The sequence below is a fragment of the Homo sapiens genome, chromosome 11 (assembly GCF_000001405.40).
Source record: "Homo sapiens chromosome 11, GRCh38.p14 Primary Assembly".
NCBI classification, from domain to species: Eukaryota; Metazoa; Chordata; class Mammalia; order Primates; family Hominidae; genus Homo; species Homo sapiens.
In genome coordinates this window covers 10336299-10348300 of record NC_000011.10, presented here as the reverse complement: position 1 = coordinate 10348300, position 12002 = coordinate 10336299, and the positions used below count along the sequence as shown (strand labels likewise).

The 12002-nt window shown below is 40.2% G+C and overlaps 1 long non-coding RNA gene across 1 annotated transcript in view, besides 2 other annotated features; it reads right to left on the bottom strand.

The window, feature by feature from the left end:
* CAND1.11 (uncharacterized LOC100130460) overlaps window positions 1–12002 on the bottom strand; it is a 122361-nt gene that overhangs the window by 82373 nt on the left and 27986 nt on the right. The gene's annotated exons all lie outside the window — the stretch shown is intronic.
* Window positions 7809–8309: an enhancer, noted in NCBI's record as "H3K27ac hESC enhancer chr11:10361539-10362039 (GRCh37/hg19 assembly coordinates)". NCBI's record gives its function as "activates a minimal SCP1, AML or CMV promoter by ChIP-STARR-seq in naive H9 embryonic stem cells {active_cell/tissue: H9 hESC(naive)}" and the evidence as "EXISTENCE:reporter gene assay evidence [ECO:0000049][PMID:30033119]".
* Window positions 8310–8810: an enhancer, noted in NCBI's record as "H3K27ac hESC enhancer chr11:10361038-10361538 (GRCh37/hg19 assembly coordinates)". NCBI's record gives its function as "activates a minimal SCP1, AML or CMV promoter by ChIP-STARR-seq in naive H9 embryonic stem cells {active_cell/tissue: H9 hESC(naive)}" and the evidence as "EXISTENCE:reporter gene assay evidence [ECO:0000049][PMID:30033119]".

Sequence of the window (12002 nt, the reverse complement as noted above, 5' to 3'; positions counted from 1 at the left end):
TCCTCTTCAACCAACTTGTTACAGGGAACTACCCAAAAAGACACAGATGCAGGTTGAGAGGGAAGAGAAATTAATTAACATAGATTTCAAATTGATACAGATAATAATAATAGATAACATTTACTTAATATGTAATGTGTACCAGACACAGTTCTAGATGCTTTACATGTATTATCTCCTTAATTCTCACAATAACATTCCCATTTTATAGATGACAAAGTGAGGCACAGAGATTTAGTAACCTGCTCCAAATCACATAGTCATTAGGTGGCAGAGTTGGGATTAGAACCCATACCTTCTCATTCTAAAACCTGTCATGCAATTCTGCCTCCCATGATAAAACAAATTTGCATATGTTTTTGCAAGTTACACTGTAAACTCCCAAAATTAATACTTTGATTGCCATAGGAATCCTAACCCTGGAGCTGTGTCTTTTCAACAGAGGGTTATTTTAATACACATTTTTAGATATGATAACAGGTGCAATAGGGCTGCTGGAAATGTTATGATGTGCCAATTTCAACGGCTCTTAGATCTCAATGTGATTTTCAACTTAAAATGAAACAACACAGGACAAAAAATATGATGCTTGTTATTCAAAGATAATGTCTCTTCAACAGAAACTACCTTCAAACAACTGAAACTTAAGGCAAGAACTCAAAGAAGAGAACTTCACTACAAAAAAATTGAGAGTTTCCACATGTTGAAGCCCAGAAACATCATTTTCAACATCCTCTGTCTCTCACAGTTAAATAATCATAGACAAAAAGTTGTATACACGGTTTAAAACACCTGAAGTGGAAAATTAAACTGTATCAATGAAATATTATTTTCCTGATATTTCAGACTACAAAAGGCAGGCTGGAAGTTATAGTTTGGATGCTAAAACATTGATATTTTCCAGGTGTTCTGGTGGCTTATGGAGATAGAAAACTTGAAGTCAGCACTGTCCTGGTTTTTCTAACTTATATGGCAATGTCACCTCTCTGGCCTCACTTGAATAGCCCCTGGAAGGATTTTTGTAATAGAAAACTAATATGCATTTGTAGATGCAGAGAAGAAATTTTGAAGAAAGAGGTACAGCAATCTGAGGATTATGATTCTGCTAGGGATGGGAGTAGAGATGAAGCTGGTTGGAAATGGGAGAACTTACGTGCTTCAATTTTTTGAATATAGCTTCAAAACATGTATTAATTACAAATGTATCCAGCTGGGAATAACAAAAAATATTAAAAACCAAAACAGGTGGTTTAAACCACTGGTTCTTAATCTGGGCTACACATTGGAATCTGCTGGAGAGTTTTTTAAATTATTGAAGCTAGGGCTGGGTGCAGTGGTTCACACCTGTAATCCCAGCACTTTGGGAGGCTAAGGCAGCAGAATCGTTTGAGACCAGGAGTTCAAGGCTGTAATGGGCTATGGTTGTGCCACTGCCCTCTGGCCTGGGAGACAGAATGAAATCCTGCTTCCAATTATTGAGGCTTAGATCCTACCACCAAAAATTCCTATTCATTTGGGGGTGTATAGGGAGATCTTAAAACTGGGAACTTTAAGACTCCACAGGTGATTTTAATGGGTAGCTAAGTTTGAGGGCCACTTTACTAACTAGTTCAAAAAAGTAAAGGCTTAGCCAGGTGTGGTGACATGCACCTGTAGCCCCAGCTACTCAGGAGGCTGAGGTGGGAGGATCACTTGAGCCCAGGAAGTTGAGGCTGCAATGAGCGGTGATTGCACTACTGCACTCCCACCTGGGTGACAGAGCAAGACCCTGAATCAAAAAACAAAACAAAAAGTAAAGGCTTTTTTTAAACATAACACAAAATCCAGAAGTGGGTGGACCAAAACCAGCATAGTTGCTAAAGGTTGTCATCAAGGAATCAGGATCTTTCCATCTTTCTGCTCCACCATACTTAGCTCTCAGCTTTCATTGTCTTGGTAAATAAATGGCTGCTGCTACCGCATTGGATCAAAGCTCCAGACAGGGAGAGGGAGAAGGGCAAAAACACTCCTCCTCACAAGTCTTTGCCTTTTTTTTTTTTTTTTTAACATTTTCATAATTTTCTTTTAATTTCAATCCTCTGAAGTAACTAATTCTTTTTGGTTGATACTATGTTCCTGATTTTATTTTTTTATTTTATTTTTTATTATACTTTAAGTTCTAGGGTACATGTGCACAACACACAGGTTTGTTACATAGGTATACATGTGCTATGTTGGTTTGCTGCACCCATCAACCCATCATCTACATTACGTATTTCTCCTAATGCTATCCCTCCTCTAGCCCCCGACCCCTGACAGGCCCGGGTGTGTGATGCTCCCCACCCTGTGTTCATGTGTTCTCATTGTTCAATTCCCACCTATGAATGAGAACATGCGGTATTTGGTTTTCTGTCCTTGTGATAATTTGCTGAGAATGGTTTCCAACTTCATCCATGTCCCTGCAAAGGACATGAACTCATCCTTTTTTATGGCTGCATAGTATTCCATGATGTATATGTGCCACATTTTCTTAATCCAGTCTATCATTGATGGACATTTGGGTTGGTTCCAAGTCTTTGCTATTGTGAATAGTGCTGCAATAAACCTACATGTGCATGTGTCATTATAGTAGCATGATTTATAATCCTTTGGGTATATACCCAGTAATGGGATGGCTGGGTCAAATGGTATTTCTAGTTCTGGATCCCTGAGGAATCACCACACTGTCTTCCACAATGGTTGAACTAATTTACCCTCCCACCAACAGTGTAAAAGTGTTTCTATTTCTCCACATCCTCTCCAGCATCTGTTGTTTCCTGACTTTTTAATGATCACCATTCTAACTGGCATGAGATGGTATCTCATTGTGGTTTTGATTTGGATTTCTCTGATGACCAGTAAGGATGAGCATTTTTTTCATGTCTTTTGGCTGCATAAATGTCTTCTTTTGAGAAGTTCATATCCTGTGCCCACTTTTTGATGGGGTTGTTTGTTTTTTTCTTGTAAATTTGTTTAAGTTCTTTGTAGATTCTGGATATTAGCCCTTTGTCAGATGGGTAGATTGCAAAATTTTTCTCCCATTCTATAGCTTGACTGTTTACTCTCATGGTAGTTTCTTTTGCTATGCAGAAGCTCTTTAGTTTAATTAGATCTCTTTTGTCTATTTTGGCTTTTGTTGCCATTGCTTTTGGTGTTTTAGTCATGAAGTCTTTGCCCATGCCTATGTCCTAAATGGTATTGCCTAGGTTTTCTTCTAGGGCTTGTATGGTTTTAGGTGTTACATTTAAGTATTTAATCCATCTGAGTTAATTTTTGTATAAGGTGTAAGGAAGGGATCCAGTTTCAGCTTTCTACATATGGCTAGCCAGTTTTCCCAGCACCATATATTAAATAGGGAATCCTTCCCTCATTTCTTGCTTTTGTCAGGTTTGTCAAACATCAGTTGGTTGTAGATGTGTGGTGTTATTTCTGAGGCCTCTGTTCTGTTCCATTGGTGTATACATACATATATACATACATACATACATACATATATATATATTCCCAGCACCATATATTAAATAGGGAATCCTTTCCCCATTTCTTGCTTTTGTCAGGTTTGTCAAACATCAGTTGGTTGTAGATGTGTGGTGTTATTTCTGAGGCCTCTGTTCTGTTCCACTGGTGTATACATGCATACATACATACATATATACACACATATATATATACATATATACACACATATATATACACACATATATATACACATATGTATATATACATATATACACATATGTATATATACATATATATACACATATGTATATATACATATATATACACATATGTATATATACGTATATATACACATATATATATAACAACACAGATATATATATATATATTTCTATGTGTTGGTACCAGTACCATGCTGTTTTGGTTACTGCAGCATGATAGTATAATTTGAAGTCAGGTAGCGTGATGCCTCCAGTTTTGTTCTTTTTCCTTAGGATTCTCTTGGCTATGTGGGCTCTTTTTTGGTTCCATATGAACTTTAAAGTAGTTTTTTTCCAATTCTGTGAAGAAAGTCATTGGTAGCTTGATGGGAATGGCATTGAATCTATAAATTACCTTGGGCAGCATGGCCATTTTCATGATATTGATTCTTCCTACCCATACGCATGGAATATTCTTCCATTTGTTTGTGTCTTCTTTTATTTCATTCAGCAGTGGTTTGTAGTTCTCCTTGAAGAAGTCCTTCACATCCCTTCTAAGTTGGATTCCTAGCTATTCTATTCTCTTTGTAGCAATTGCGAATGGGAGTTCACTCATGATTTGGCTCTCTGTTTGTCTGTTATTGGTGTAAAGAATGCTTGTGATTTTTGCACAATGGTTTTGTATCCTGAGACTGCTCCAGTTGTTTATCAGCTTAAGGAGATTTTGTGCTGAGATGATGGGGTTTTCTAAATAAACAATCATGTCATCTACAAACAGGGACAATTTGACTTCCTCTTTTCCTGATTGAATACCTTTTATTTCCTTCTATTGCCTGATTGCCCTGGCCAGAACTCCAACACTATGTTGAGTAGGAGTGGTGAGAGAGGGCATCCTTGTCTCGTGCCGGTTTTCAAAGGGAACGCTTCCAGTTTTTGCCCATTCAGTGTGATATTGCCTGTGGGTTTGTCATAAATAGCTCTTATTATTTTGAGATACGTTCCATCAATACCTAGTTTATTGAGAGTTTTTAGCATGAAGGGCTGTTGAATTTTGTCAAAGGCCTTTTCTGCATCTATTGAGATAATCATGTGGTTTTTGAGGTTGGTTCGTTTATGTGATGGATTATGTTTATTGATTTGCACATGTTGAACCAGCCTTGCATCCCAGGTGTGAAGCCGACTTGATCATGGTGGATAAGCTTTTTGACGTGCTGCTGGATTCAGTTTGCCAGTATTTTATTGAGGATTTTCACATTGACGTTCATCAGGGATGTTTGTCAAAAATTCTCTTTTTTTATTGTGTCTCTGCCAGGCTTTGGTAATCAGGATGATGCTGGCCTCATAAAATAAGTTAGGGAGGATTCCCTCTTTTTCTATTGATTGAAGTAGTTTCAGAAGGAATGGTACCAGCTTTTCTTTGTACGTCTGGTAGAATTTGGCTGTGAATCCTTCTGGTCCTGGACTTTTTCTGGTTGGTAAGCTATTAATTATTGCCTCAATTTCAGAGCCTGTTATTGGTCTATTCAGAGATTCAGCTTCTTCCTGGTTTAGTCTTGGGAGGGTGTACGTGTCGAGGAATTTATCCATTTCTTCTAGATTTTCTAGTTTATTTGCATAGAGGTGTTTATAGCATTCTCTGATGGTAGTTTGTATTTCTGTGGGATTGGTGGCGATATCCCCTTTGTCATTTTTTATTGTGTCTGTTTTATTCTTCTCTCTTTTCTTAACTAGTCTTGCTAGCAGTCTATTTTGTTGATCTTTTCAAAAAACCAGCTCCTGGATTCATTGATTTTTTGAAGGGATTTTGTGTCTCTATCTCCTTCAGTTCTGCTCTGATCTTAGTTATTTCTTGCCTTCTGCTAGCTTTTGAATTTGTTTGCCTTGCTTCTCTAGTTCATTTAATTGTGATGTTAGGGTGTCAATTTTAGATCTTTCCTGCCTTCTCTTGTGGGCATTTAGTGCTATAAGTTTCCCTCTACACACTGCTTTAAATGTGTCCCAGAGATTCTGGCACATTGTGTCTTTGTTCTCATTGGTTTCAAAGAACATCTTTATTTCTGCCTTCATTTCGTTATGTACCCAGTAGTCATTCAGGAGCAGGTTGCTCAGTTTCCATGTAGTCATGTGGTTTTGAGTGACTTTCTTAATCCTGAGTTCTAATTTGATTGCGCTGTGGTCTGAAAGACAGTTTGTTGTCATTTCTGTTCTTTTACATTTGGTGAGCAGTGCTTTACCTTCAACTATGTGGTCAATTTTAGAATAAGTGTGATGTAATGCTGAGAAGAATGTATATTCTGTTGATTTAGAGTGGAGAGTTCTGTGGATGTCTATTAGGTCCACTTGGTGCAGAGCTGAGTTCAAGTCCTGGATATCCTTGTTAACTTTCTGTCTTGTTGATCTGTCTAATGTTGACAGTTGGGTGTTAAAGTCTCCCATTATTATTGTGTGGGAGTCTAAGTCTCTTTGTAGGTCTCTAAGGACTTGCTTTATGAATCTGGGTGCTCCTGTATTGGGTGCATCTATATTTAGGACAGTTAACTCTTTTTGTTGAATTGATCCTTTTTCCATTATGTAATGGCCTTCTTTGTCTCTTTTGATCTTTGTTGGTTTGAAGTCTGTTTCATCAGAGACTAGGATTGCAACCCCTGCTTTTTTATTTTTTTATTTTTTTATTTTTTATTTTTTGCTTTTCATTTGCTTGGTAGATCTTCCTCCATCCCTTTATTTTGAGCCTATGTGTGTCTCTGCACGTGAGATAGGTCTCCTGAATAGAGCACACTGATGGGTCTTGACTCTTTATCCAATTTGCCTGTCTGTGTCTTTTAATTGGCACATTTACCCATTTACATTTAAAGTTAATATTGTTATGTGTGAATTTGATCCTGTCATTATGATGCTACCTGGTTATTTTGCGCATTAATTGATGCAGTTTCTTCATAGCATCGATGGTCTTTACAATTTGGCATGTTTTTGCAGTGGCTGGTACCGGTTGTTCCTTTCCATGTTTAGTGCTTCTTTCAGGACCTCTTGTAAGGCAGGCCTGGTGGTGACAAAATCTCTCAGCATTTGCTTGTCTGTAAAGGATTTTATTTCTCCTTCACTTAACGAAGCTTAGTTTGGCTGGATATGAAATTCTGGGTTGAAAATTCCTTTCTTAAGAAGGTTGAATATTGGCCCCCTCTCTCTTCTGGCTTGTAGTGTTTCTGCTGAGAGATCTGCTGTTAGTCTGATGGGCTTCGTTTTGTGGGTAACCCGACCTTTCTCTCTGGCTGCCCTTAACATTTTTTCCTTCATTTCAATCTTGATGAATCTGATGATTATGTGTCTTGGGGTTGCTCTTCTCATGGAGTATGTTTGTGGTGTTCTCTGTATTTCCTGAATTTGAATGATGGCCTGCCTTGCTAGGTTGGGGAAGTTCTCCTGGATAATAACCTGAAGAGTGTTTTCTAACTTGGTTCCATTCTCCCCGTCACTTTCAGGTACACCAGTCAAACATAGATTTGGTCTTTTCACCTAGTCCCATATTTCTTGGTGGCTTTGTTCGTTTCTTTTTACTCTTTTTTCTCTAATCTTGTCTTCTCGCTTTATTTCATTAATCTGATCTTCAATCACTGATATCCTTTCTTCCACTTGATTGAATCAGCTATTAAAGCTTGTGCATGCATCACGAAGTTCTCATGCTGTGGTTTTCAGCTCCATCAGATCATTTAAGGTCTTCTCTACACTGTTTATTCTAGTTAGCCATTCATCTAACCTTTCTTCAAGGTTTTTAGATTCCTTGCAATGGGTTAGAACAAGCTTCTTTAGCTCGGAGAGGTTTGTTATTACCGACCTTCCGAAGCCTACTTCTGTCACCTCATCAAGGTCATTCTCCATCCAGTTTTGTTATGTTGTTGGTGAGGAGCTGTGATCCTTTGGAAGAGTAGAGGCATTCTGGTTTTTGGAATTTTCAGCTTTTCTGCTCTGTTTCTCCCCATCTTTGTGGTTTTATCTACCTTTGGTCTTTGATGTTGGTGACCTACAGATGGGATTTTGGTGTGGATGTCCTTTTTGTTGATGTTGATGCTGTTTCTTTCTGTTTGTTAGTTTTTCTTCTAACAGTCAGGACCCTCAGCTGCAGGTATGTTCGAGTTTGCTGGAGGTCTACTCCAGACCCTGTTTTCCTGAGTATCACCAGTGGAGGCTACAGAACAGCAAATATTGCAGAACAGCAAATATTGCTGCCTGATCCTTCCTCTGGAAGCTTCATCCCAGAAGGGCACCCACCTGTATGAGGTGTCTGTCAGCCCTTACTGGGAGGTCAGGCTACATGGGGTCAGGGAGCCACTTGAGGAGGCAGTCTGTCTGTTCTCAGAGCTCGAACACCACGCTGGGAGAACCACTGCTCTCTTCAGAGCTGTCAGACAGGGATGTTTAAGTCTGCAGAAGTTGTCTGCTGCCTTTTGTTCAGCTATGCCCTGCCCACAGAGGTGGAGTTTATAGAGGCAGTAGGCCTTGCTGAGCTGCAGTGGGCTCCACCCAGTTCAAGCTTCCCAGCCACTTTGTTTACCTACTCAAGCCTCAGCGATGGTGGACACCCCTATCCCCACCAGGCTTCAGCCTTGCAGGTCGATCTCAGACTGCTGCACTAGCAGTGAGCAAGGCTCTGTGGGCATGGGACCTGCCAAGCCAGGAACAGGAGGGAATCTCCTGGTCTGTCAGTTGCTAAGACCGTGGGAAAAGCGCAGTATTTGGGCAGAGTGTACCAGTTTTCCAGGTACAGTCTGTCACGGCTTCCCTTGGCTAGGAAAAGGAAATCCCCCGACCCCTTGTGCTTCCTGGGTGAGGCAACGTCCCACCCTGGTTTGGCTCTCCCTCCATAGGCTGCACCCACTGTCTAACCAGTCCCAATGAAATTAACCAGCTACCTCAGTTGGAAATGCAGAAATCACCCGTCTTCTGCATCGATCTTGCTGGGAGCTGCACACTGGAGCTGTTCCTATTCAGCCATCTTGGAAGAAACCCCAAGTCTTTGCCTTTTTATTCAGAAATGGAAGCCCACCTCAGGGACATCTGCTTACTTACCACACTATATTACACAGCTGTCTTAGATTGTGATGAAGTCTGGGAATTTGTGTGTGTTGTTTACAGCCTCTATAATAGAAAAAGTCAACAGAGAAGGCAGTTGGGACGGTTATTGAGTGAGCCAGTCCACAGCATCTGCCATCCATGAATGTACTACTTTTGTAATTTTTTTTAATGTAAATATAGGCTGGACGCAGTGGCTCACACCTATAATCCCAGCACTTTTGGAGGACAAGGCAGGTGGATTGGTTGAGCCCAGGAGTTTGAAACCAGCCTGGGCAACATAGTAACACCCCATTTCCACAAAAAAATAAAAGAACTAGCTGGGTGCAGTGGTGCACACCTGTAGTTCTAGCTACACAGGAGGCTGAGGTGGGAGGATCACTTAAGCCTGGGAGGCGGAGGTTGTGGTGAGCTGAGATAGCACCAGAACCACTGCACTCCAGCCTGGGTGACAGACCTTGTCTCAAAAAAAACCAAAAAATGTAAATATAGTGGCATAAGGACTACAGCATAAGGAAACTGCCTAAGCATGGTGGCTCATGTCTGTAATCCCATCACTTTGGGAAGGTGGGGCAGGATTGCTTGAGCCCAGGAGTTTGAAGCTGCAGTGAGCTATGATTGTACAACTGCATTGAAGCCTGGGCAACAGAGTAAGACCCTGTCTTTAAAAAAGAAAAGAAAAGGCCTTACAGAAACAACATACCTGGGAATAATTTCATCATAACCTGGCCTATCTAATACTCTATTTTCTGTTTATGTCATTCTGCCCAAGCCCCAAATCTCTCTGTTACTTTTTCTGAGGCTATGTTAATTGTTTAATATAGCAGCCTTTTTAAGTCTCAGAGTTTCATTCTGGTAGAAAAGAAGCAGCATTTAGTTTTAAGCCTGGAGAGTAGAAAGACCACAAAATCCTCCCCAAAGTCCTGGCCTCCTCTTGCCTGATAGTCTCCAAAATAAATTTAATTTCTCTGCTGACCTGAAGTTCACATTCAACTGTTTACTGCCAAGGGTTTGAATTACTGCAAATATGGCCCTTGGGTTTATCCCAGTTGAATTAATAATCACAGCCCCTGCCACAATCTCTTGTTTGCCAATTACACTTATTCCAACATCCCTCCTGAACTTAAGACTCATGATTTCCAACTTCCTGCTGGACAAGAACACCTCAATACCCCATAGACAAATCAAACTCAGTATGTCATGGTGATCTCATTATGTTCCCCCTCCAAACTCCTGTATTCCCCATCTCAGTAAATGGCACAACTGTTGATCAAGTCATTTGAACTACAAATCTCAGAACTGTGCTCAAATTCTCTCTCTTTTTAATATCATAGATCCAATCAGCAAAATCCTGTCAATTCTACCACATATATATTTTCTAATCTGTTCCTCCTCCTCTAACCTAATCATCTTCTACCTGGACTATTAGCATCTTCAAGAAATAGAAACAGAGGGCTGGATGCCATGGCTCACTGTAATCCCAGCACTTTGGGAGGCCAAGGCAGGAGAATCTTTTGTTTTGTTTTGTTTCATTTTTGTTTTTGTGACAGGGTCTCACACCATCATTCAGGCTGGAGTGCAGTGACCAGATCACAGCTCACCGCAGCCTCAGCCTCCTGGGCTCAGGTGATTCTTCCATCTCAGCCCCTCAAGTAGCTGGAAATAAAGGCCACCACACCAGGCTAATTTAAAAATTTTTTTTATTATACTTTAAGTTTTAGGGTACATGTGCACAACGTGCAGGTTAGTTGCGCATGTATACATGTGCCATGTTGGTGTGCTGCACCCATTAACTCATCATTTAACATTAGGTATATCTCCTAATGCTATCCCTCCCACCTCTCCCCACCCCACAACAGGCCCCGGTGTGTGATGTTCCCCTTCCTGTGTCCATGTGTTCTCATTGTTCAATTCCCACCTATAAGTGAGAATATGCGGTGTTTGGCTTTTTGTCCTTGTGATAGTTTGCTGAGAATGATGGTTTCCAGCTTCATCCATGTCCCTACAAAGGACACGAACTCATCATTTTTTATGGCTGCATAGCATTCCATGGTGTATATGTGCCACATTTTCTTAATCCAGTCTATCAAACTATACTACAAGGCTACAGTAACCAAAACAGCATGGTACTGGTACCAAAACAGAGATATAGACCAATGGAACAGAACAGAGCCCTCAGAAATAATGCCGCATATCTACAACTACCTGATCTTTGACAAACCTGACAAAAACAAGAAATGGGGAAATGATTCCCTATTTAATAAATGGTGCTGGGAAAACTGGCTAGTCGTATGTAGAAAGCTGAAACTGGATCCCTTCCTTACACCTTATACAAAAATTAATTCAAGATGGATTAAAGACTTAAATGTTAGACCTAAAACCATAAAAACCCTAGAAGAAAACCTGGGCAATACCATTCAGGACATAGGCATGGGCAATGACTTCATGACTAAAACACCAAAAGCAATGGCAACAAAAGCCAAAATTGACAAATGGGATCTAACTAAACTAAAGAGCTTCTGCACAGCAAAAGAAACTACCATCAGAGTGAACAGGCAACCTACAGAATGGGAGAAAATTTTTGCAATCTACTCATCTGACAAAGGGCTAATATCCAGAATCTGCAATAAACTCAGACAAATTTGCAAGAAAAAAACAAACAGCCCCATCAAAAAGTGGGCACAGGATATGAACAGGCACGTCTCAAAAGAAGACATTTATGCAGCCAAAAGACATATGAAAAAATGCTCATCATCACTGGCCATCAGAGAAATGCAAATCAAAACCACAATGAGATACCATCTCACACCAGTTAGAATGGTGATCATTAAAAAGTCAGGAAACAACAGGTGCTGGAGAGGATGTGGAGAAATAGGAACACTTTTACACTGTTGGTGGGACTATAAACTAGTTCAAGCATTGTGGAAGTCAGTGTGGCGATTCCTCAGGGATCTAGAATTAGAATTACCATTTGACCCAGCAATCCCATTACTGGGTATATACCCAAAGGATTATAAATCATGTTCCTATAAAGACACATGCACACGTATGTTTATTGCGGCACTATTCACAATAGCAAAGACTTAGAACCAAGCCAAAAACTTTTTTTATAGGCAAGGTTTCACCATGTTGCTCAGGCTGGTCTCGAATCCTGAGCTCAAGTGATCCACCTGCCTCAGTCTCCCAAAGTGCTGAGATTACAGGCATGAGGCACCACACCTGGCCAGGAGAATTACTTGAGGCCAGAAGTTGAAGACA